The following is a 26809-nucleotide window of genomic DNA, read 5'->3' as shown; positions in this document are numbered from 1 at the left end:
ATTCTTACTCATCTCATTCTTTGTCCTCCTTCTAAGTTATATTCTCTGTTAGAACAGCTCTAAGCCAGTCAAGTGGCTGCCCACAGGGCCACTAGCTATTACTAGGTCTGAGGAGGCAGTTCAATTACTGAAGGAGAGAAAATTGTATTCCTCATGTTGCAATTTTAAATTTCTCTAGTTTTTAAATTTCTATTGGAGAAATTCTTTTCCTTCTCTACATTCTTGGTCTGTATTTATGTAGAATAATGTTTCCTTGATTTGCTAGATCAAACCTATTTATATATTGATTGCAGAGAGTCCAGAGCCTATCCTGTGTAGAAGGTGATGGTTGTAAGCATGTCAGAATTAAATTTAAAATTCACTGTAACCTAAAACTAATGTTAAAATTGATCTTTATATGTTTTTCTCTTTGAGTCTGTGGGTAAGAATGATTAAACTCCTTTGTTTAATATCAGCTTTTTAAAAAATCCCACTTACCAGAACGTCTTCTTTCTACTGTCTCCCTCCAAGTGGGCAAGTGGGCCAAGGTGCTCTGAAGGGATGTATGGACTCTCCCTGGGGTGTGGGGGTGAAGGTCAAGAAGTGGGGTAGGGGAGGGAAGACAGTGACATTTTCTTCTGTTAAACCGGTGACCACTATCCATCGAATCACAGAATACAAATTTCTTTTTGCAGCATAGGTTTTTTTCCAAACAGTCACAGACAGTTGAACACTTGGAAATGCCTCCTTTAACAGTTGAAAATTTACAATGCAATAAAATCGTCTTTGCATCATGGCTATGGCATACACTGGAGTCCAGCTGGGTAGGGTCAAATTCTGAGACCTGTGATTCTTTACTCTAGTAAAAGCCATTTGCTTCTCCCCACTGCCCTTTAGGGTAACAATCTGGGATGGCTACTCTCTCCTACCTTTCCTTTGCCATTGATGGTACAATAATGATCAGTTCTTGGTATATCTTCTATTCTTCTTGGTACCAAGGAAATTTTTTTTTTGCAGCAGAGCTTGGAAGGACCCTGTAGGAGCTGCCTAGCAGTTCGGATCACAGAACACTGTTCCCAAGTAAGTTTCAAACTATTTTAGAAAAGAACTCTCCATAAAACCTGAAATATGAGAATAGTATTTTAAACTCTGTGTTTTCCATGGCTCTTTCTCTAATGCTTTCCCTTTAAGGGTGATGTCCTTTTATCTTGACATCATCACACTCAAAAGCAGGAACACTGTAATCCCAGCGCTTTGGGAGGCCAAGGCGGGAGGATCACGAGGTCAAGAGATTGAGACCATCGTGGCCAACATGGTGAATCCCTGTCTCTACTAAAAATACAAAAATTAGCTGGGCGTGGTGGTGCGCGCCTGTAGTCCCAGCTACTAGGGAGCCTGAGGCAGGAGAATCGCTTACCTGGGAGGCCGAGGTTGCAGTGAGCTGAGATTGCGCCACTGCACTCCAGCCTAGCAACAGAGCAACACTCCATCTCAAAAAAAAAAAAAAAAGAAAAGAACAGAAAAGAAAAAAAGGCAGGAACAACCAGGCAGTTGAGGAAATGACATGTGAAGCCATGGTCTGATTCATGAGCCCCTCTAGTGAAAATCAAGCAAGCAGTGAGGGAGTCCACAGTTGAGGTGGAAGACAAATAAAACCGGAGAGTGTCTTCCATTATTCTGTGAGCTTTGAAGATGGAGCAATGAAAAGTCAGCTTATAGAACTAGATCCCTAAAGCGGTACTGTTTGTTCTCAAAATATAAAAAATATGAAAGAAAAAAATAAAAATAAGTTTGACAATACCCTTAGCAGTATGGGACAGGCAAGGCCTTGAAAGTTATTTGCTTTAGGTAAACATGCACCTGTTTTATTTATTTTTGTATTAATTTTACATGTTCATGATTTATTGACAATTTTTTAGTAGCCAAGAATTCACAGAAGGGAACAGTGGTTTCACTTTATTTTTTATTTTTTAATCTTGTTTTTAATTGACACATAATAATTATACATATTTACAGAGTACAGTGTGATGATTTGTTACATTTATACATTGTATAATGATCAAATCATGGTATTTAGCATATACATCTCAAACACTTATCATTTCTTTGTGGTGAGAACATTCTTGTCTGTTTATTTTGTAATATACACTATGTGGCTGGGCAAGGTGCCTCATGCCTGTAATCACAGCATTTTGGGAGGCCAAGGTGAGAGGATCACTTGAGGCCAGAAGTTTGAGACCAGCCTGGGCAACACAGGGAGACCTCATCTCTATTTCAATTAAGAAATTTTTTTAAAGAGATATACACTACAGTATTATTTACTATGGGCACCATACTGTGTTTCCTTATTTTTCTGCACTGACTGTAACACTGGTTTTCATGACACTGTCCATCAGTGTGTCTCGTTTTCCATGTTACGTTCTTGTCTATAAGACATCTTTTCTCTTCCTTAGTAGTAGGAAGAGAAACAAAACAAAACAAAACAAAACCCTTCTAGAACTCGATGGCATTATTCAGAAACTAGATCAAATGCTGTTCTTCTACAAGGCAAAATTCTGTAAGATCAATCCTTGCTCAAGATCTCTGCTCCAGCCCCAGAACCTGAACTTGAGTCTGCATGGGCTTTCCAGAAAAAAGCATCCAGAAGGAGAGAAGCTCCTATTTATGCTACCAACACTCCTCTCTAAGATATGTTTCTGTTGTTATCATTGTTAAGACGGAGTCTTGCTTTGTCCCCCAGGCTGGAGTGCAGCAGCGCGATCTCGGCTCACTGCAACCTCCATCTCTGGGGTTCAAGCGATTCTCCTGCCTCACCCTCCCACGTAGCTGAGATCACAGGCACACGCCACTATGCCCGGCTAATTTTTGTGTTTTTAGTAGAGACGAGGTTTCTCCGTGTTGGTCAGGCTGGTCTTGAACTCCTGACTGCAGGTGATCCACCTGCCTCGGTGTCCCAAAGTGCTGAGATTACAGGCGTCAGCCACTGCGCCCACCCATTTAAGATATCTTTTTGAACAAATTTATATTTTCAATTTCTGATCATATATGTCAGATGGAATACTTAACTCTACTATTAGGAATTATTTCCTCAAAAGGGCTTTAGCATTTCATTAGCTTTCACATTCTAGAATTCTATTAGATTGTTTTTCCGAATCAAAGGAACCTGCATGCTGGATGTGGGAGAGGGTAGGAGAACTGATCAGGCTCCTCCTCTGGAAACCTGAATCTCCGTACACTGAGACAAGTCTTGTTCCTCCTGCCTGCACTGCTCAGTAGAGGATTTGTGGCAGTTTACTCTCACTGCCCCACTAATTTTGAAATGCAGTGCTCTAAAGAGACACATAAAAGAAGAAAGGATCTGGTATTTTATCAATGAACAGGGCCGGCACTCTGTTTATGAAAAAATATTAGAATCATTCTTGGATGAGGTAAAATAAATCACAACTCTTTGAAGATTTGCAGAAGAGAGGTGAGGACAAGCTCCACTTAAGCTGCCAAGGCAGTGATGCGTGAATTCCCCTAGGAATTCCTAGGAAGATACTCAGCTGTGGTCAACATTCTTTTGGTCAATGCGTTAACCCATAATTGTTCATCACAATGAGATTCTGCATCTGAGCTGGGGCTCTTTCTGTGCTCAGGATATAATCGCAACCTCACCTCGGTTTTAGTCACTCTTGCTTCACCACTGTCCTGGACCCCAGGACAGGCCACTCCACTTGACATGGTTGATTTTTTTTTAATTGGGTTATGTAAAAAATTGCTTTACTCAATAATCTTTTATTATGTAGTGGTTTGCTTATAAATGCCCAATATAGATTCTCATCTTGGTGACCATGCCTGTGTGCCACTTTCTCTTGTATTTGATCATGGATTTCCTGGAATTTCCTTTTCTACGTTAAACCAGGGCATTTGCTTGACTGGAGAAGATCCCTAATAAGGGGACAATTCTGTGAGACACAAACACTCCTAGCAATTTTTTTCTCTAAGGAAAGCTGTCTTCAAAATGGGGCATCTGTTTCAGGAAACAGAAAAACATCACCCTGAGCTCTTCTTAGGGCAAAGGAAAACATCAATAATACGACTGTGATAGAAGTACTTTTTTTTGTATGACTTTTCCTCATTGTTTCAGAGACATGGAGTATTTTTAGTGGGTCCATAAAGAGGAAAAGCCTACAGGTTGGAACAAGCAAGCTTCTTCCTGAGAGACAATAACAGACTTTCAACCTGGCAAGACACCGGACTTTCAATCTGGCAAGGTGTCAGTAGACTCCCTTTCCAACAAGAAAGGGACCGTAGTCGGCAGGATTCGAACCTGCGTGGGGAAACCCCAATGGATTTCTAGTCCATCGCCTTAACCACTCGGCCACGACTACGTGAAGGACACTTTGTCCATTAGCATAAGTCACTGTACTGAACTTTAGCTCCCTTGGAAAGGTCAAATTTTCTGCCAAAAAGTGTATTCGCTGTCAATGTTTCTTATTTTTTGACATCAGTTAGATGACTATCATGCTGTTGTGGTAAACTGACAAGTAACACTTTATCCTCGGACCTAGGAGGACCCCTTATTCTGATGTTTTGATGGAAGGAGACTACGCGGGGAGGCATTCCCAGAGACCAAGCTTCCTGCTCCATCCGCTTCTGATGGTGTTCCAGGAAACACCCGCAACAATTGCGACAAGCTCTAACATTTGCTGCAGAATTTTGAGTTATAGCAATGATTTGAACAACCTCAAATGGCCATCGATGTTTGACTTTTAAAATAAATTTTGGAAGATCCATATAATGGAAGATTCTGCAATTGATAAAAGGAATGAGATGCACTTCTATTTACTGAAAGGAAATGCACTAGTATTTCAGTGGTAGCCCAGTAAGAGGCTACACTTAGTAAGAGGATACACTAGAAATCCACTTATTGTCAGTTTGAGAGCCTGGTATTGCCTCTAAGAAACTTCATCTTTTCCCCTTGACAACTCCCCCTTTGACCTCCAGTAAAGGACTCCCCCTGCATCTCAAATCAAAGGTAGATTTTTACTACCTTTTTTTTTTCTTTTTTAAGTCCCCACTTATTTAAATGCCCTTTGAATGCTTATCTGAGCTTCACTAACGATTCTGGGAAACAAAAAGTAGATTTACTCACTTAGTGTGGTTTCCAGGTAGAAGAAAGAGAGATGAGGAGTAAACTCAAGGTCTTAATTCCTTATTCTGTCAGTTTTGGTAAATCATCTCTTGAAGGAAATCTGTCCTAAATTGTCAAATCTATTTACAAAACATTGTTCATACTGTATTCTTAGTATATTCTTGATGTCTATATACTAAAATGTAATGTTATCCTATATTTATTCCTGGTATTAGTATTTTCTGTTTTCTCTTCGTTTTGTTGAACAATCCTTGATTTAGAACAATAGTTTTGTCAATCATCCCTAAATGCCTGTTTATGGCTTTGTTGATATTCTCTGTTTGTTTGTGTGTGTGTGTGTTCTATCTTTTTATAATCTTGTTTCTAACATTTTAATTTGCTCTTTTCCTCTAAATTATTGAGAAAAAAGCTTTAACATCAAATATTGAAACATCTTTATTCTAATATATGCAAGTAGAACTATAAATTAGACTTTGGGCACAGTTTAGCTGCATTACACAAATTTTTATATATCTTATTTTATCTTTCATTTTAACTAAATGTGATTTCTTTAAGCTATGGCTTTGGATGAGTGTTTTTTCATTTAGTAACATTTTGGGGTTTTCCATTTTATTTCTGATATTGATTTTATTTTTATTATGCTGGGCCCACAGAATATATTCTGTGTCATTTCAATCCTTGTACATTTTTAAAGACTTGCATTAGGGCCCACCAAGGGTATTTAAAAATAATATGTAAATCAACATAAAAAAATCAGTAGCATTTCTATATAAACATAATGACCTAACTGAAAAACAAATCAAGAAAACAATCTCACTTATGATAGCATCAAAAAATAAAATACTTAGGAATAAATTTGACCAAGGAGATGAAAGATTTTTACACTGAAAACTATAAAATGTTGAAAGAAATTAATGACAACATAAATAAATGGAAAGATATCCAATGTTCATGAATTAGAATAGTTAATAATGTTAAAATGTCCATGCCATCCAAAGCAATATACAAATTCAGTACAGTCCTTATCAAAATTCCAAAGGGACATTCTTCACAGAGGTAGAAAAAATAATCCTAAAATTCATATGGAATCACACACACACACACACACACACACACATGCACCAAATAGCCATAGCAATACTGAGAAAGAAAAACAAAGTTGGAGGCATCACACTTGTTGCTTTAAAATTATATTATAAAGCTAAAATAATCAAGACATATTGTTCTGATAGCAGCATAATCATTCCTGAATAGAAACAGAAACAGACCAATGCAACAGAATAGACAGCCCAGAAAAAAACTCAAACATATACTGCCAACTAATTTTTGATAAGGGCATCAAGAGGACACAATGGGGGAAAGAATAATCTCCAGCCGCCCCGTCCGGGAGGGAGGTCGGGGGCAGCCCCCGGCCGGCTAACCGCCCCGTCCGGGAGGTGGGGGGGGGGCCCCGCCCGGCCACCGCCCCGTCTGGCAGGTGGGGGGCGCCTCTGCCCGGCCGCCCCGTCTGGGAAGTGAGGAGCTCCTCTGCCCGGCCGCCACCCCGTCTGGGAGGTGTACCCAACAGCTCATTGAGAACGGGCCATGATGACGATGGCGGTTTTGTCGAATAGAAAAGGGGGAAATGTGGGGAAAAGAAAGAGAGATCGGATTGTTACTGTGTCTGTGTGGAAAGAAGTAGACAGGGGAGACTCCATTTTGTTCTGTACTAAGAAAAATTCTTCTGCCTTGGGATGCTGTTAATCTATAACCTTACCCCCAACCCCGTGCTCTCTGAAACATGTGCTGTGTCCACTCAGGGTTAAATGGATTAAGGGCGGTGCAAGATGTGCTTTGTTAAACAGATGCTTGAAGGCAGCATGCTCGTTAGGAGTCATCACCACTCCCTAATCTCAAGTACCCAGGGACACAAACACGGCGGAAGGCCGCAGGGTCCTCTGCCTAGGAAAACCAGAGACCCTTGTTCACATGTTTATCTGCTGACCTTCCCTCCGCTATTGTCCTATGACCCTGCCAAATCCCCCTCTCCGAGAAACACCCAAGAATGATCAATAAATACTATTAAAAAAAAAATTAAAAAAAAGACATAGAGAATTAAAAAAAAAAAAGAAGAAGAATCTCCAATAAATGATGCTTGGAAAACTGGATTTCCACATGCAAAATAATGAAATTAGACTCTTATACCATACACAAAAATCAACTCAAAATGGATAAAACACCTAAATGTAAGACCTGAACACAAAACTTCCATAAGAAAACAGGGGGAAAGCTCTTCGTCATTGGCCTTGGCAATAATTTTTTTGGATATCATGCCAAATGTCCAGGATACACAACAAAAATAAATAAATGGGACCACACCAAACTACAAAGTTTCTGCACAGCAAAGAAAACAATCAACAAAATAAAAAGGCAACTTACAGACTGGGGAAAAGGAGTTAATATTCAAAATTTATAAAGAACACTTATAACTCCATAGCAGAAAAACAAATAACCTGATTAAAAAATGGTCAAAGAGACTTACCTTCTGAGCACAGCTGGCAGCACTACAGTCTCATGAAAAATGTGCAAAGGATCTGAACAATTTCTTCAAAGAAGACATAAAAGGGCCAATATGCATATGAAAATGTGCTCAACAACATTAATCATCAGGAAAATGCAATATTAAACCACTATAAGATATAACTTTACACCTGTTAGGATGGCTATTATCAAAAAGACAAGAGACAACAAATGTTGGCAAGGGTGTGGAGAAAAGAGAACCCTAGTACACTGTTGGTGAGAATGTAGATTTGTGCAGTCATTATGGAAAACAGCATGGATGTTTCTAAAGAAATTAAACATAGAACTACCATATGACCCAGCAATTCCTCTCCTGGATATAAACCCAAAGGAGATACAATTACTACCTCGTAAAAGACATCTGTACTCCCACATTCACTGAAGCACTATTCATAATAGCCAAGATATGGAAACAAACTATGTTTGTCAATAGATTAATGGATAAAGAATCTGTGTGTGTGTGTGTGTGTGTGTGTGTGTGTGTGTGTGTGTGTGTGTGTGTGTGTATAATATTACTCAGCCTTAAAAAAGGAGATTCTACCATTTGCCACAACATGGATGACCCTGGAAGATATTATGCTCAATGAAATAAGCCAGACATAGAAAGAAAAATACTATGAGATCTTACTTATATGTGGATATATATTTAAAAAAAAAAAAAGGTCAAACATACAGAGAGAATAAAAAATTGGTTGCCAGGGGTAGCTGAGGAGAAAAGAAATAGGGTAATGTAGGTTAAAGGATACGAAGTAGCAGATATGTAGCATGAACAAGTCTAGAGAGCTAATGTACAACATGGAGACTCTAGTGAATTGAATTGTATTATATTAGGGATTTTTGTTAAATGAGTAGAGTTTAGATGTTTTGTCCAAAAAAAATGTAACTATGTGAGATGATACATGTTAATTTGCCTCATTGGAACAATCATTTTACTATCTACATATATTTCATAGCATCATGTTGTAAGCATCAAATATACACAATACAATATCTTTTAATAAATAAATAATATATATTTTTAGTTGAGTGTAGTGTTCTATATTTGTCATTTAGGTAAATAGATTTGTTTAAATAATCTTTATCTATACTGAAATATCATTAAATGTGTATTGTAAAATTTCTGTGGCCATGGAGGTGCGCTGCTCAGATCTTCCTTCAAGGAAGAACTTGTTTTCAGTTGCAAGAAATGCTGTCAGCTGACAGCCTCCAAGGCACTTTTACCATCTTCAGCTACAGCACTTTTACCGTCTTCTACAGTGTTCAAACTGAGGTTGTTTTCTTCTTGGTGAGCAGAGTGGGTGTACGCTAAAGCCTGGCCATTTCCGCTTGACTGGGGTCTTATCTATGAGCAATTTCTATACCAAAGCTGGACGAGACTTTCTCAGAGCTGTGCCAAAACCTCAGGGTTTTTCTACCCAATCCTACTTTCTTCCTTCTCTAATTTTGCCCATGCCAGACCCACATCATGGTCTGAAATCTCTTACTGCATTCATCTTTCCTTCTCCTCTTTGTTTATTGTTATGGGCATTATTGTCAATAACCCCTTGCACTTGTAATGCATCTTAGTGTTTGCTTTCCAGCGATCCCAAACTTTCACAGCTGGTATCAGAAGAGGTCTGTGAAAGCAGATGGTAAAATGTGATTTGACAACTATATTACTCACTGCCAAGCTGGCAAGGAGGACCCCAGCTTGAGTGGTATGAGTGCTCAAGGAGTCTCTGAAACAAAGTGACATATAATTGCTAAAAATTTCTGGTTTTTATATGAGTTCTTGAGATAGATGTTTTAAAAATCTCTATGGTGCGGATGACGTTGTAAAATGTTTGTGTGATGATTCATGTGTTTTTAAGTTGAAAACATGGGTGACAAGCCATACAATAATGATTATCTGGCTATGTAAGCAGAGGGGGCTTAACCTACAGAGCTGTGAAGATAGTTAATACAGCATAGTGTCCCTAAGGGTAGAAAAGGCAGGCCGGGCAGGGTGGCTCACACCTGTAATCCTAGCACTATGAGAGGCCGAGGCGGGTGGATCACGAGGTCAGGAGTTCAAGACCAGCCTGACCAACATGGTGAAACCCTGTCTCTACTAAAAATACTAAAATTAGCCGGGCGTGGTGTCCTGCACCTGTAATCCCAGCTACTCAGGAGGCTGAGGCAGGAGAATCACTTGAACCTGGGAGGGGGAGGTTGCAGTGAGCCGAGATCGTACCACTGCACTCCAGCCTGGGTGACAGAGCGAGTCTCTGTCTAAAAAAAAAAAAAGAAAAGAAAAGGCAGTGAATGTTTGTGCTGCATAATACACAAAATCAAAATAAGCAAGGGCAAATGAACAGGAGGCTGAGAACACTTCCCTAATATAAAATAATCTTTTAGGCCGGGCGCGGTGGCTCACGCCTGTAATCCCAGCACTTTGAGAGGCCGAGACGGGCGGATCACGAGGTCAGGAGATCGAGATCATCCTGGCTAGCACGGTGAAATCCCGTCTCTACTAAAAACACAAAAAAATTAGCCGAGCGTGTTGGTGGGCGCCTGTAGTCCAGTTACTTGGGAGGCTGAGGCAGGAGAATGGCGTGAAGCCGGGAGGCGGAGCTTGCAGTGAGCCGAGATCGCACCACTGCACTCCAGCCTGGGCTACAGAGCGAGACTCCATCTCAAAATAATAAGAATAAGAATAAGAATAAGAATAAGAAAGAATAAGTCTTTCCGGGCGCAGTGGCTCACGCCTGTAATCCCAGCACTTTGGGAGGCCGAGGCAGGCGGATCACCTGAGGTCAGGAGTTTGAGGCTAACCTGATCAACATGAAGAAACCCTGTCTCTACTAAAAATACAAAATTAGGCCGGCGTGGTGGCATATGCCTGTAATCCCAGCTACTCGGGAGGCTGAGACAGGAGAATCGCTTCAACCCAGGAGGCGGAGGTTGCGGTGAGCTGAGATCATGCCATTGCACTCCAGCCTGAGCAACAAGAGCGAAACTCCGTCTCAAACTAATAATAATAATAATAATAATAATTATAATAATAATAATAATCTTTTAATGAGTTATTGGACCAAAGCCTGACTCCCCTTTTTTTTTTTTTTTTTTTTTTGAGACACTGTCTCGCTCCGTTGCCCAGGTTGGAGTGCAGTGGCGCGATCTTGGTTCACTGCAAGCTCCGCCTCCCGGGCTCACGCCATTCTCCTCCCTCAGCCTCCAGAGTAGCCGGGGCTACAGGCGCCCGCCAACACGCCCGGCTAATTTTTTGTATTTTTAGTAGAGACGGGGTTTCACCGAGTTAGCCGAGTTAGCCAGGATGGTCTCTATTTCCTGACCTCGTGATCCGCCCACCTCGGCCTCCCAAAGTGCTGGGATTACAGGCGTGAGCCACCGCGCCCGGCCGAAGCCTGACTCTACTTCTAAAAGTTTTACATTTTTAAAATTTTTGTTTTGTGACTTGTTATTTTTTTTTAGCTAATTTTGTGTGTTCAGTGGAGTTACAAACTCCATTTCTACGGACTTCTGCTCTTGGGAAGCTGGAAGAGGAAAAAAAAAAAAAAAACAACTGTCGTCCAAACCTTCACACACAACAGCAAAGGCAAAGTGGGGAATCTAGACTTCCATCAAGCTGTAACAAGGTGCATTCCCTCTACCTCCAACACACACACACACACACACACACACACACACACACACACACACACACACTTCTCGAAGAAAGCAGAACAGGGAGCTGAGACTTTCATTGCCCCAGGCTGTAAAGAACCCCCTACCCCCATCCCAGAATGAAAGTCAAATAGCCAGATATCTACTTCCATGTTATTTCTGGAATCCTTGAGCCTAATTTTTTTTTTTTTTTTGAGTTGGAGTCTCACTCTGTCGCCCAGGCTGGAGCGCAATGACAAGATCTCTCCTCACTGTAACCTCTGCCTTCTGGGTTCAAGCAATTCTCCTGCCTCAGCCTTCTAAAGTGCTGGAATTACAAATGTGAGCCGCCGCGCCTGGCCCGGTGAACTCTTTTAATGGTGAACTTCAAGTCACAACAGTAACTATCAGTTCAACTACACCAAGGTTACTGAAGATAATGGCTTCTCCACCCAAGCAGGTCATATACAAATTCCAAATAGAATGTGGCATCACCCTGAAGGAATTCCCTTCACAATGTTGGGGAAATTTACCAAGATGGCTTCAGAGTAGACTAACTTTACATAGCACATTTTTCAAAGAGACACATTTATTCAGAGTCATGATTAGACTATTACATTTGGCATCCAACAGCCTAGGTGCAAAAAAAAAAAAACACACTATATTAAAACCCTTTGTTGAAATGATTTATACTTTCCTCAGAACAGAAACTAAAATAACCTATTATACAATTAGTCATAAATACAGTCCTCAAGTTTTTTGCCCATATACATGAGTATTTGTCTAATACATGTCTTCTTTGTAGCAGTTAGGCCCTTCCACCACTGGGCTTGGCTGAGTTCACAAATCGGTTGTAATCTGCAGCTTCCCTGTCACTTCTTTGACTCTCCTTTCCTGGTAAGCTTTGTTTCCTGGCAGTAATTAAAATCTTCTACCACTGCCGTAACTACTGCTGCTACGGAACTGCCATAGCCACCTTGGTTTCATGGTTTGGCAAAGTATTGGCTTCCACCACCATAGGGACCAGAGCTTCTGCCTCCAAAGTTTCCTCCCTTTATGGGTCCAAAATTTGAAGACCGATCGTTGTAATTGCCAAAATCATTGTAGCTTCCACCACCTCCAAAATTGCTTCCATCATTATCAAATCTGTTATAGCCATTCCCACTGCCACCCTATCTACCACCACCACTTCTGCCACCAAAGCCAGCACAACCACTGAAGTTTCCTCCACGACCGAAGTTGTCATTCTCACCAAAACCACCTCCAACGCCACCACCAAAGTTTCCAGAACCACTTCGATCTCTTTGGCTGGATGAAGCACTAAACATCTTTTGCTTTGACAGAGCACTCCTAAAGTCACAGTTGTGGCCATTCACAGTGTGGTATTTCTGAATGACAATCCTTTCCATGGAGTCATGGTCATCAAAAGTTACAAGGCAAAGCCCCTGTTCTTGCCACTGCCTCGGTCAGTCATGATCTCAATCACTTCAATTTTTCCATACTGTTCAATATAATCTCTTAGTTTATGTTCTTCAGTTCTTCTTTAACATCTTTATCACAGTTAAGTGGGCACCTGGTCTTTGAGAATCTTCTCTTGAAACAGCTGTCTTTGGTTCCACAAATCTTCCATCCACCTTGTGCGGCCTTGCATTCATGGCTGTATCCACCTTTTCCATACCGGCATATGTGACAAACCCAAAGCCCCTGGAGTGCTTGGTGTTTGGATCTTTCTTTACTACACAGTCCGTGAGCGTTCCCTATTGCTCAAAATGGCTCCTCAGGCTCTCATCAGTTGTTTCAAAGCTCAACCCTCCTGGCCAGGTGCAGTGGCTCATGCCTGTAATCCTAGCACTCTGGGAGGCCAACCTGGACAACATAGTGAAACCACGTCTGTACTACACACACACAGACACACACACACACACACACACACTTAGCCAGGCGTGGTGGTGCCCGCCTGTAGTCCCAGCTACTTGGGAGGCTGAGGCAGGAGAATCACTTGAACTCAGGAGGCGGAGGTTGCAGCGATCCCAGATTGCGCCACTGCACTCCTCCAGCTTGGCGACAGAAAGAGACTCGTCTCAAAAAAAACAAAAACAAAACCGAAAAAAACAAAATTCAACCCTCCAATGACAATGAAAAGCTTCAGCAGCTGTTCGGGCTCTTTAGGAGACGCTGACTTAGATATGATGGCAGTGGGAAGAAGGGCGTTTAACAGTGCTTCCTCAGCAGTGTCCACAGGCGGAAAAGGCCAGGTTTACTTTTAGTATCTGAATAGTATAGTTGTCTTATTTTATTTATTTATTTTTTAGTACTGTTATTGTTTAGTACAAGAATAAGAATTTTAGCTATTAAGCATAGAGTGAAAATCTTGTGAGCTTTGTTAAGATACTGTCAATCATTGAAATATGAATGGATTTTTACTATTTTAGGGATAAAATGCTTCAATAATTAATAATTTGTGAAAAACTTTATATTTTATGTAATATTAAGAATTAATAAAATTGAAATTAATATAAGGAAGTTAATATAAATATAAGAGTTCTTTAGATTGCTGTATAGGAAGAACATCACATACTTTTATTCTCAACAAATATTATAAATATTTACATTAGAATAAAATGAAGAATAATAAAGTTGTAATTATATCTTAATTCTTCATTTCTAGAATATTTAAAAATACCTTCAAAAACTATTTTCTATATTAGCCTTGAGTCTTTAAACAAAAGTTCTATTTGACAATTTTTTTCATTTTGTCAAAATAACTTAAAAGCAAAATGTCTATTTTGTCACATTAAACTTTCACAAGGGGGAAACGTTCCAAAATTTTGTATTATATCATGACAAATCTTTGTTTATGCAAGTATAACAAAGTCTTTGAAGAAAAGAGGAGATGTTTAGAAGCAATGAAGTCCATCTAAGTTAAAAGTGGGCATCTATTTTTTGGCCCAGCTGTGCTGTAGGGTGACTGAAGAAAAATCTAGTAAATGATATCAATACACAATAATATCAACCTTTGAAATTTTGACTAGTAAAGTTTTGATTATAATACAGTTCTTATAGTAATATATTAATATAAAATATAATACATTAAATATAATGCTAATAATAATTAGTTTTTCAATAAAATTCTTAAATTTTTACATCCTGGCATTTTATTCACAGCAAAGAGGCACTACTGCGTAGCTTTGGCCATGCCCTCAGACAAGTACTAATTTCATAGTCATTCGTTCAGCATTTGCATGAATTATAACTTCAGTAAACAGTTCTAAAAATTATCTTTTATTATGATAAATGACTCCAGTATAATTTGATCCTTATTACAACATCCCATTTTGTGTATTATTGTTATTCATCATTTTAGTTCCATTTTGTTTCTACATCTCAAAATTTAGTAATTATTAACTAATATTTTAACAGATTATTTAACAAATATTAGTTTTGTAGAGACAGGGACTCACCATCTTGCTCAGGCTGGTCACCAACTCCTGGCCTTAAGTGATCCACCCACCTCACCCTCTGAAACTGTGGAAACTACAGGCATGAACCACTGTGCCCGGCCTATTTTAACAGATTCTGTGGCTGAATCATAATGAAAGAGAAAATTGATGGAAAAAGAAAAGTTTAGGAAGAAAAGAAATTATAGATAATCATATTGATGAACATAGTGGTCTAATATGCCTAAGACTTCATATGACTAGGGAGAATTCTCTACCAATGAACTGTGCATCCTCAATGGTTCTGTGATAACTAAATTCCTGCTATGGACTGAATGGACTCAAATGCATATGTGGAAGCCTCTCTCTCTCTGTTTCTCTCTCTCTCTCTCTGTCCCCCCAGTATGTGAGGATAGAGCAAGAGGACAGTAGGCTGCAAATCAAGAAGGGAGGGCTCACCAGACATTGAATCAGCTGGAACCTTGATTTTGGGTTTCCCAGCCTTCAGAATTGTGAGAAATAAATGTTTGTTGTTTAAGTCAACAAACATTATATAGTTATAGTAGTCCAAACTGTCTAAAACAATTTCTTAGGCTTCTATGTAGCTAGGATGGCACGCATGTGCCCTAAGTTTTCCAATCAGATGTATTTCTTCTTTCAGAAGAAACATGTATATAAACAAGGGAGAAAAACTCCAAAATTATGTATTTTATCATGATGCATCTTTATGCAAGTATAATAAAGTCTATGAAGAAATGTTTAGAAGCAAATTAGGTCCATCTAAATTAAAGGTAAGCATCTATTTTCTTGCAACATTTGCCTTGGTAAGGGTAATGAATAGATATCTGCTAAATGCAGGTAGATATTTAAGCTTTTAGAGGCAGTGGTGGCATAAGGCCTAGCAAAGGCATTCCATGCTGGGGAACATAATGCTGCTAGCAGTTAACACTAGAAAATGCATGAGGAATCAGAAGGAATGGGTAGTACAATATAAAAGGGCAAATAATCATTATGTGTGGAAGCATTTGGAAAATGAAAATGACAATTCAAAGTTATAAATTCTCCATTAAATGTATGGTTGCAGAATCAGGAATTTCCTCTGCAGTAAAATAATTTTTAATTTTTGTGACCCAAGAATTGCCATAATTCAAAATCAAATTTATATTATAAACATCTCTTGGTTTCCCATTAATGGAAAGATGAATGAATGAGCTGTGGCATGTTCATATTACACAGCAGCTAACATGAAATCAATGAATGAATGGTAGCTACATACAACAAAAGAGATGATTAATTTTAGCAATATAAGATTAAATGAAAAAAGATTATAACATATAGCCTGATACCCTGTATCCACAATTAAAAGACACAATTTTATAAATACTAATAGATAAAATCAAACTAAGGAAAGCACTTTGGCCTTAATTCTTCAGAGACCCAGTAACTTCTTTGTCTTTCCTTAAGTTGTGACAAATCCAAACATTTACCAGAAAATAAACTAACTTGCAACAAGAGACATTTAGTTTTATGAAGACAAAATAATCACAGAGGCATCCTAGGATACAATTTTAAAGCTCTATCATTCTATGGGACGTATTCAGCATTGACAGCAATTCTGTGTGGCGGGTTAATGTCACAGAAATGACCAACAGAGCACTTAGAAGGTGTATCTGGATATTTACTTACCGTGTTGACAGTGATTGAAGTTACCATGTGAGGATCCAATAGTGTTCAAATACCTAAGAGAGTTTAAGCAATTTTTATTTAAAGTACAGATTTATTTTCACTAATCCTTGTTTCTCAGTGGCAAATGAAACACCTATAAATTCTAGTGATTGCACCTAAAAGGCATTATAAAGCCTCATTCTCTTGGGAAAAAGATACATACAAGAATATTTCTTTTCCCTCAAATCTGTTGAGTCCTTTTTGTCCTCTGAAGTGAATTAACTGCATTTCATAAAGCAATAAATCAAGTAAAAAGTTTAACTCAACTCGAATTATTTTGGGTATTAGAATATCTGTTAGGTGGTGGTGAGGAGGGTAGTAAAATGAAGGAGGTATGAGGGTCTCCTGCTCTGAACATAGAGCAGAGAGTCAGTGGGCCCCGTACAGAGTCCGCGTCATACTTTGGGTTCACATGAACTGGAGATTCCTGCCAATCATATCTAAGAGGGAAATTTATTTTAGAAAGAAAAAAATAGTGAGGAAGCAAGAAGAAACGACAGGTTCCACCGAGATTTGAACTCGGATCGCTGGATTCAGAGTCCAGAGTGCTAACCATTACACCATGGAACCTCGCAATAGCTCGTGTTTTTAACAGGCCTTCCTGAAGGAATATATCTTCATTTCCGAACTCAAGCTGTCTTCCCTTTAAGAACCTAAGTTTCTACCCTAATGTTCGTTATCTGCCGCCATCACACAAGTTCCCTTTTCGTTTCTCACAGGGCTCTTCGTGCAAGATCCAAGAGCAAATCTGTTTCCAGGGGCAGATAAGGTAAGTCCGTGCCTCCCCTGGACTCTTAGCAACAGCCTGCGGGGCTCCCCAGCCTCGGTTCTGCGGCCCTAAGCCGGGCTGCCCCGATACAGGGGGAGAGGGCACCAACCTAGCCGCGCTGACAGATTGCGTTGTTGGAAGAACCGCGAGGCTCGCCGCCTCCCGAGCGTTTGTCCGGCGTTCTTTGCTCCTAACGCTAGGAACACTTTTGAAAGTTCCATTTCGTAACGTATAAATTATGGATGACTTAAATTGAGGCGGCGTGTCAACTAGTCCTGGCACCCGTGGCGTTGCCGAGGGTAAAAAACAAAAAACAGGACACCAAAAGATGCTTTCTGCTTCCCGGGAAGGCTCCACCTCGTGGATACCAAAGAGTAAAGCACTGTTAAAAGCTCGAATATTTGCAAGGCAGGATTTTGTAATTAGTTTCTCACTGATAAAGCTTTAACTTGGTCTTTCTCAATGGGATTAACTGAGAACCTCTCCCAAAATATTCAGCAGTAAAAATTTACTGATACCAAGACCCGGACATGACTTGTCTAGGAGTGTTCATTGCAGGAGATAAAAGCGATCTTATGTTGTCAAACAGAAAGGCTGAGGAAGGAGGCAGAGGGTCTTTAAGAGTAAATAATCTCAGGTGATAGGATCTGAACCTTCCCAACAAGATCACATGAGAGGTATCGGCATCTGCCAAAATTACTTTATTGCTTAGAGACGTCTAGTGTCATGGACAAAAATCCTTCCTGCTTCAATGAGGCGGCACTGTCACTACCAGGTTAAAATGGGTCCCGCCCGTAGGGCCGTGGGCTCTGCGGCAGGAGCTGCAATGGCCGCTGTACAGTGGCAAAGAGAATATCCGTACATATCTCATCCAGTCCATCTTCTCCCAGCCCTATGACTTTCTGATCCACTCACTACCAGAAAGCAAGACAGAATGAAACCCTCTTACCAAACGGGATAACTAAAGGTGGTTTCCAGGAGCCTCGGGAACAAGAAGCATGAGGATCCTAAGCATTTTCAATAAAAATCTAGCCCACTGGAGGCTTTTGAAAAACTGAAGGTCCATGTAACAAATTTAAGATGAGCATTTCTAAGGGCTAGGGCTTGTACCAAGTTCTGTGCTCTCTGAAAAAAAAAATTAAAAATATATGCCTGTAATGGTCAAAGCTGAAACAATTTGAGAAACAATAAATAGAAGACTTCAAACCAATCCCTACAGCTTCCCTGATGTGCAACAAATCTCAGTTTTTCAAGGAATCTCCTGAGCAGAATTCCAGATAACTCCACCCCTTCATTGTGGGCTCTGCATAGTGATTGCTCTACAGAATACAGTATGAAAAAGGGTGGGAAAGTAAGCAGTGAATAAATCCCAAAAGCATTACACCAGCAGTGATAAGCCATGTTGATAGTATATTGTCTTGATATAACGTGATAAAAATGGCGCTTTAGGTCAAGCATGGTGGTTTATTCCTGTAATCCCAGCACTTTGGGAGGCCGAGGCAGGTGGATCACTTGAGGCAAGGAGTTCGAGACCAGCCTGGCCAACATGGTGAAACCCTGTCTCCACTAAAAATACAAAAATTAGCCAGGCGTGGTGGCAGATGCCTGTAGTCCCAGCTGCTCATGAGGCTGAGGCAGGAGAATCGCTTGAACCCGGGAGGCGGAGGTTGCAGAGAGCCGAGATGGTGCCACTGCATTCCAGCCTGCGTGACAGAGGGAGACCCTGTCTCAAAACAAACAAACAAACAAACAAAAACCCTCCACTTTACCTCTGCGGTCTTGCTCCCTCGAACCCCTAACTCCGATCTAATGATGAGAAAAATATCAGACAAATCCTAGTTGAAGGACATTCTACAAAATGCCTGCTCAACACTCTTCAAAACTGTCAAGATCATCAAAATCAAGGAAAGTCTAAGAACTACCACAGCCAAGAGAGCTTAGGGAGTCATGATGACTAAAAATAACATGGAATTCTGAATAGGATCCTGGAACAGAGAAAGGAAATTAGGTAAAAATGAAGGAAATCTAACATATTCATTTTAGTTAATAATAATGTATACATATTTGTTAATTGTTTGTAACAAACGTACCATACCAATGTAAGATTTTAATAATAAGGAAAACTGAGTGTGGGGATATATGGGAACTCTCCTTTATATCTTCCCAATTAAATGGAAACTATTGCTCACGGGAATAAGAACAAAAATGTGACCAAATGAAGTTACTTCTTCAAAATGAATTCAGAACTCTGGCTTGCAATGTGCATTGGTACAATTCTCTCCTGTTTTTGCTTAATGAGCCACATATCAGACCTAGTGGTACAGCTTGCACAGCCTACAACTGACCTGAGAGTATACGGACTTGAAAATAGGAAGGACAAATTTTTGTGCCACACCCACTGCTGCCCTTAGTGCTGTGGACACAGAATTGAGCAGGACACTAAGCACTGGCCCTGCCTGTGGAGATTTCAGTTTGTAGTGATGAGATATTGGCTAAAAACAGTGAATAAAGTAACACCCACACAGAGAAAGTTAGGGAAAACTGCAGGTGACTGGAAGCTAACAGCCTAGATAAACTGAGAAGCTGAAATAAGCTGGATATTTGAGTTTAGGCAGGGATTGAAGATGGTATTTAGAAGACGGTGTTGGCCCAAACCTTTTCACATATTGTGAGATACAAGATAAGGGCGTAGTCTGTGGACTGGTTGTCTGGGTGGCCATACCATAGTGGAAGTAAAAGAAGAGCTGAGAAAAAGTTGAAGGATAGGCTGAGACCATAGATCAGGCCAGGGCTTCAAGGTTGTTTGTTTTAGGAGCACAAGTATCTGCTTTGAACTGTAAACATCAGGGAGCAACAGAAGTGACTTTGAGGAACTTAGGAGATTCTCATTGTCCTTTTGCCCTCAGTATAACTGAACATTTCTTTGTTCCCTGCCATGCTGAAGTTGGTTCTGCACCAGGAGCTACTGGTACCAGTCTTTGGGAATTGGTTTGGGAATTGTCTTCATGTTTGCTCATAGTCATTTTATTTATTTCCCAAAAAACAAAAAGCTGATGGAAAATTCCTCTCCCTCAAATTCCCAATGTCAAGAAGTTAGTAGAGCAAAGATTTGTACAATATTTTTTTGCTCTGGACTCCAGATCATATTGAATAAAATCTAGGAAATCCCTTTCTCAGAAAGATGCCCCTAGATACACACATATACCATTTTGAAAACTATCTCAAGGTGTTCGTGAAACACTTGAGGTCCATGGATCTCAGGCTAAGAATCCTCTGCATTTGATATTCCTCTCTATGTCATCTAGCATAATTTATAACTAATAAAAAATGAATTCTATAAGCAGAAATTAAGCATCATACTACTGAAGTAAAATTGTCTTTTAATTGTGCATGAACATTTAATTAATCTTGGTCTTGTAAATTAGGTCACAGGTGCACCCAAAACAAGCCAAAATACTAGTTAAACCAGTTCTCAGAGGGCTCTTCGGGTGTATATTCCTGACAGAGCAGTTTGGGGATACTTGATGCAGACATAAGTAGGTCAGACAGTGGAGAAGAACAGGCGCATATTTATCACAGGGTTATTGGACCTCTACTGAGATAATTTGTTATTGAGAATTGTACTGGTTTCTGTTTAGTGCTGATTCTATCCTGTTCAAACAAGGAAAGTATAAACTTCAAAATTGCATTATATACATTTATTCATTAAGGACTAATTCTCAAACTTTGAACATCAGAGAGGCAGTCTCTTCCAGGTGCAACCCTCATGACTATACTATAGCTGATTTTGGACCCCATTCTCCCAAATTACTTCTTATGTAATTATTATCATTATAATAAATGTGCACAATACATTATTTTATAAGCCAAATGGATTGGCAAGATGTTTTTGTTTTGTTTTGTTTTGTTTTGTTTTCTATCAAAACACAAAGAAGCAGGGGACTGGACGTGTCAGGGCTGACTCGCGGGCTGTGTAGGGCTCAGAGGGCCAGGGGACCCGGGTCTGGTGGATGGGAGGGCGCGGTCCTGGGGCCTTGGCGGCCGAGAGTGGGAGATGGCGGCGCGATGGAGCAGCGAGAACGTAGTGGTAGAGTTTCGTGACTCCCAGGCAACTGCGATGTCTGTGACTGTCTTGGGCAACATGCAGTGCTTTCTGGCGGCAGATTCTTATACATCGTCAATCTCGATGTCGCTTTCGAAGGTCACCGAAAGATCTGTCGCCAGAGCAAATGGAACATTGGAGCTGTGCAGTGGAAACTTCGTGACAGCTTTGTACACTATTTTTCAGCTTCGGGGCGGAACCACTCTACAGACTGTCTGAGTCTGTTCTTGTCAGGAAAGGCAGTCTGCAGAAGGAAAGCGTCTGAGCAAAGAAAGAAGAGCAACTTCGTTGGCTTGAGAAGGAACAGAAAGCCGCCCTTCCCAGCCATTTCCAAAACAGGGTCTGACTTTTAACCATGGATGTCCGAGGTTGCACTGATTTTCAGGGCTATTCTGAAAGAGAAAGGGAGAGACAGTCTCCTGCCTTTCCACTCTCAACCTCTTTCCTGGGTGATAGAAGGGAGCTCTTTTAATCGGTTTATACCTCAGTGCCCTTATTCCCCTCTCACCCTCAGCCCCTGATCGTCTACTGCAGAGATTTTTAACCTTGGCACTACTGGCAGGTTAGACCAGGTCATTCTTTGTGGTGGGGGTTGTTCTGTGCATTGTAGGAAGTTCAGTAGCATCCCTGGCCCCTACATACTATATCTCAGTAGTATCCTCCCCACCTCTTGTTATGACAATCAAAAATATCTCTAGACCCTGTCAGATGTCCACTGGGAAGCAAAATCACCTCTGACTGGGAACCACTGATTTAGGCTGACACCTCAGTACTTATACTCAGTGGATTAACACTGCCATTTTTCAGGAGTGCTAAGGAAGACAGCCTTTTTTTGTTTATTTGTTTTTTCACAATTTATCATTTTAAAGTGAACAATTCAATACCCTTCACTACATTCACAGCGTTGTGTAACCACCACCTTTATCTAGTTCCAAAACATTTCTATCCCTCCAGGGTAAAACCCCTTACTCATTAAGCAGTTTCTCCCCATTCCTCCCTCCCTCACAACCCCTGGCAACCACCCCAGTCTGCGTGCTGTCTCAATGGATTGACCTATTCTGGATCTTTCATATAAATAAAATCATAAGAAAAACAAAGAGGCACAGCATTTTCCCGTTCCAAACTCTCTCTAAACTGAATTTAGGTTTCCTAGTGGCAACTGTCCAGTTGCTTTTCACTCCTAGTTCTATGACCTTGGGCAAGGAACTTAATCTCTCTGTGTTTTAGTTTCCTCAACTGTAAAACTGGAATAAGAAGAACGCTTACGGGTTATTGAGAATTCAACGAGAACTTTGAACAGTGCCTGACACTTCATAAGCACAACTGATTGTGGTTATTATTGTTGCCCTGCTCTCTCTTTCTCTCTTTCTCTTTTTTTTTTTTTTTTTTGAGACAGAGTGTCGCTCTGAGTGTCACTCAGGCTAGTGTGATCTCAGCTCACTGCAACCTCTGCCTCCTGGATTCTAAGCCTTTCTCCTGCCTCAGCCTACGGAATAGCTGGGATTACAGGCACGCACCACCACTCCCGGCTAATTTTGTATTTTTGGTAGAGATGGGGTTTCACCATGTTGGCCAGGCTGGTCTCAAACTCCTGACCTTAGCTGATTCACCCACCTCAGCCTCCTAAAGTGCTGGGATTACAGGCATGAGCCACCGCACCTGGCCGTCTTGCTATTTCTTGATTCCTCAATTTTAGACCTTGTGCTGTGTATCATCCAGGTACCCTGGCCCCATTCTGCATCTTGTTGCCTGCCCTGGCGCTGATCAGTATGGACATTTTCAATGGGCTTCTTTATCCTCTGACTCCTGCTTGAGTTTGGCCAAGAGAATACCTATGAGAGATCCAGAGGGAGGGTGAAGAGTGAGGCTGGTATATTTATCCTCTGGATCTGTTGGCTGCAGTCTGAATCCCCCAGGAAATGTCCCAACATCTGCCAGGAAGCCTCTCTACACAGCCCTCTCCAAAGAGCTGTAGGTCCCAGGCTCCATCTTATGCCCATCAAGCTCAAGGGTAGTGCGGATTACTAGCTCCAGTAATCCGCAAAACCCTTGTTATTGCCCTACATGCTGCCCATTTATTTGTAAATAACAATTTAAATAAATTATCCTCAACTTTTCTAGTTCAAGTAAACATTCCACTTCCTGCTCATGTCCTGATTGATACAGATGTCTAAAGACTTCCCACTCTGAAAGAAAAGATACATAGTTCTTCTATATAGCCTAAAACAAATACACTTATCTACCCTCATCTTTCAATGTATTTGTATCATAGTATTGTGGCTAAAAATGTTAAGTGTTTTCCTTATTATGTCCATGGAAATATTGTTCACTGCAGGATCACTTGTATACTGTAACTACATTCTCTTGTTTTTCCTGATTTGAAAATACTGCCTCTTTTGTTTGTTTGCCTCCTTTCTGTGTTTCTAATACTAATTTGTCCTGCAACTCTCTTCCAGTGCTGCAAAATACTTCTGAATTTGGTCATTTTTCAGTTCCTTTTTTTAAAACTTGTCCAACCTGAGCTGGTTAATCTCTAGGTCTGCTTTATAGAGATCATGCTGATGCTTCTCCATCGGCTGAAGAGGCAACCCCTTTACCGCTCACCTGTACTGAATTGTTTTTTTGTTAAGTCACAAATCTCTTGGTTTACTCCCTATTTTTGGTGGAGAAGATCCTCCAACAGCTTTCTGAGAAAAGAGAAATTTTTTGAGATTTTGCATTTGGCAATCTCAAGCCTGTTTGTGCTCAGATGCATTCCTAGCCACTCCCTTGGTCATCTCTGTAGTGCCAGTGTCTGGTCCCTGCCGCTGCATTTCCACTGATGGCTGCTGACTTCTGCCTGAGTTCAGCCAATAGAAGACAATGAAGGAATATTGAGAGGTAGAGGGAAGAAGAAGTCAGGATATTTCTTGCTTTCCCTCCCTGTTTCTTGCAGCATTTCTGGCAGCAGTTGTGTCTCCTCCATGGCTCCAGATCCTCCCAGACCTGCCTGCTCCTGAGGGAGATCCCACCCCTTGGGTTCAGATTTCTACCTCCCACCCCAACTGGCTTCTTTGATCTTCCACCACCTCTGTAACCAATTCCCTGCATGAAAGACACTGGAGTTTAAGTCCTCATGAGGTCTCTGTTTCCTGCTTATGATCTAAAAAATATGATGCATTTCTGAAAATATATTTATTCAAACTTCATAAATGATTTTAGTTTGGTCAGGTAGGGATTTCTAGTGTGAAAATAATTTTATCTTAGAATTCTGTGAGCATTACTCCATTGTGTTCTTGTTGTCAGTGTGGTGATGAATTTAAATGCCATTCTAAAATAGACACTCTGGATAATTCTTGGTTTTTTGTTTTGTTTTGCTTTTGTATTTGTTTTGTTTTGTTTTGTTGTTTTTGTTTTTATTTGTTTTGGTCCCTTGTGCTGGGCAGTAGGTGGATCCTTTGGATCCTTTTTAGGTTTTGAAAATTTAAAAGGCCAGGCGCGGTAGCTCATGCCTGTAATCCCAGCATTTTGGGAGGCCGAGGTGGGCGGATCACCAGAGGTCAGGAGTTCGAGACCAGCCTGACCAACATGCAGAAACCCCGTCTCTACTACAATTACAAAATTAGCTGGGCGTGGTGGTGCATGCCTGTAATCCCAGCTACTTGGGAGGATGAGGCACAAGAATCACTTGAACCCGGGAGGTGGAGGTTGCAGTGAGCCAAGATCACACCATTGCACTGCAGCCTGGGCAACAAGAGCAAAACTCAAAACTCCATCTCAAAAAAATAAATGAAAAAAAAAAATGAAAAAAATTAAAAAAAACAAAGAGAAAAGAAAATTTTATTGCATTCATTAATAGTTTTCCCTATTTTCTTTGTTGTCTTTCCATGAAACTTTCAATCACGTTGTTGAAACTTCTAGACTTGTCTTCTAATTTTCTTATCTTTTATTCTATTTTTCCATTTTTCTTTTTTGTCCCTTTTTGTGGGAAATGTTCTCAACTTTGTCTTCTAACCCTTCTGTTAAACTTTTTTCTATCATCATATTTGTTATTTTCTTTTCTCTTCTGAGATAGGGTCTTACTTTGTCACCCAGGCCAGAGTGATCTCAGCTCACTGCAGCCTCAGCCTCCCAGGCTCAAACGATCCTCCTGCTTCAGCCTGTCAAGTAGCTGGTACTACAGGTGTGTGCCAGCACGCCTGGTTAATTTTTTTGTATTTTTCGTGGATATGGGGTTTTGCCATGTTGCCCAGGCTTCTTTTCCTTTTTTTTTTTTTAAATATTATTCTTTAGAGATATTTATTTAGGATTAAAAGGAAGGATTTTTTTAAAGAAATTAGAATGGTGGCCAAAGGGAAAAGCACATTTCTTTTGCTCCTTTAGATGTTGCCCTTTGATGTAACTGTAGTACATTCAAGTGGACCTGTCCACTAGGAGGATTCAGGAGAGAAGTCGGGCTTGGAGATAAAGATCCAGTTGTCATCTTCATGGAGATTGCCAAGGAGGGGAATGATGGAAACATGAGAAAAAGGCTGCTGACAGTCTTGGAAATAACTTAGTGGTCTCAGCTTCTGCCTGCAGCAACTTGGGGGTTCCTTTCTGGTCAGACACCTTCTGGAAATTTTTGTTTTTAATGAATTGAGATTTTACACCTTCACCTTCAATTTGCAGTTTAATACCTTCAGCATGGGCAGGGTGATCAATATACCCTGTAGATTCAAACCACAGTGGCGTGCTTACACAGCCATACTCTCAGAGCTTCCCTAACACTACATAATTTTCTTGGCTGACATACTCCTGCCCCATGCCCATATTTGTTATTTTCAAGGGTTCTTGTTCCCTTTAATGCTCTTTAAAAAGTAATAGCATCTTAGTGAGCTATGACAGCACCACTGCACTCCAGCCTGGGCCACAGAATGAGACCCCGTCTTGAAATGATAATAATAATAACAGAATAGTATCTTATTATTCTCATATATACAGAATGCTTTCTTATTTCCCTGAGGATGTTTTCGTTTTTTGCTTCTGTTACCTATTTATCTCTATTTCCACCAGGCTCTCTTTCTTTCATTTGTTTGCGTTGGTACCTATCTTTTCTCCAATTTCTGGTGGCACATAGCAGTTCAGTCATATTTAGGAGGTAGACCCCTAAACCTAATTGGTACTATGGGCATGGTATGCCAATAAATAGGCCTCATTCTAGAATGATTGTGTATGATAGGCCATTTCAATCCAGACCCTTGATATGTCCATATCTACGGGTCAGTTTTCTTATGATGGTCCATTTTCTTGGGGAGCAGAATCTTTCAATCTTCTGCATGTTTAGGGCTAGAGGTAGAGAAAGCTTAGCTGTCCATACTTTCTGAAACAGAAAGGGAGCTTCAGGTGTCCTAAAGAGACTTTCATTCCATCTCCCAATTTTCAACATGCGCTTCACTCCCAATTTCAATTATACCTGGTATCCTTAAGTCAAGAGCATCTCCGGAGCTTTTTTTCCC

General features: G+C 40.4%; 2 non-coding genes and 1 pseudogene across 2 annotated transcripts, besides 2 other annotated features; all 3 read right to left on the bottom strand.

Annotated features, from left to right (window-relative positions):
* Positions 1 to 4270: 4270 nt before the first annotated feature.
* TRS-AGA3-1 (tRNA-Ser (anticodon AGA) 3-1) lies at positions 4271 to 4352 on the bottom strand. Its single transcript has one exon. It is a non-coding gene; the product is annotated as a tRNA-Ser (tRNA).
* HNRNPA1P1 (heterogeneous nuclear ribonucleoprotein A1 pseudogene 1) lies at positions 12023 to 13113 on the bottom strand (annotated as a pseudogene).
* Positions 16949 to 16998: a silencer, noted in NCBI's record as "silent region_17029". NCBI's record gives its function as "represses an Ori minimal core promoter by ATAC-STARR-seq in GM12878 lymphoblastoid cells {active_cell/tissue: GM12878}" and the evidence as "EXISTENCE:reporter gene assay evidence [ECO:0000049][PMID:35858748]".
* TRQ-CTG1-2 (tRNA-Gln (anticodon CTG) 1-2) lies at positions 16960 to 17031 on the bottom strand. The gene has a single exon. It is a non-coding gene; the product is annotated as a tRNA-Gln (tRNA).
* Positions 17389 to 17678: an enhancer, noted in NCBI's record as "active region_24290". NCBI's record gives its function as "activates an Ori minimal core promoter by ATAC-STARR-seq in GM12878 lymphoblastoid cells {active_cell/tissue: GM12878}" and the evidence as "EXISTENCE:reporter gene assay evidence [ECO:0000049][PMID:35858748]".

The sequence above is a fragment of the Homo sapiens genome, chromosome 6 (genome assembly GCF_000001405.40).
Source record: "Homo sapiens chromosome 6, GRCh38.p14 Primary Assembly".
Lineage (NCBI taxonomy): Eukaryota > Metazoa > Chordata > Mammalia > Primates > Hominidae > Homo > Homo sapiens.
The sequence above is the reverse complement of the archived record's forward strand: the minus strand, read 5'-3'. Positions and strand labels throughout refer to the sequence as shown.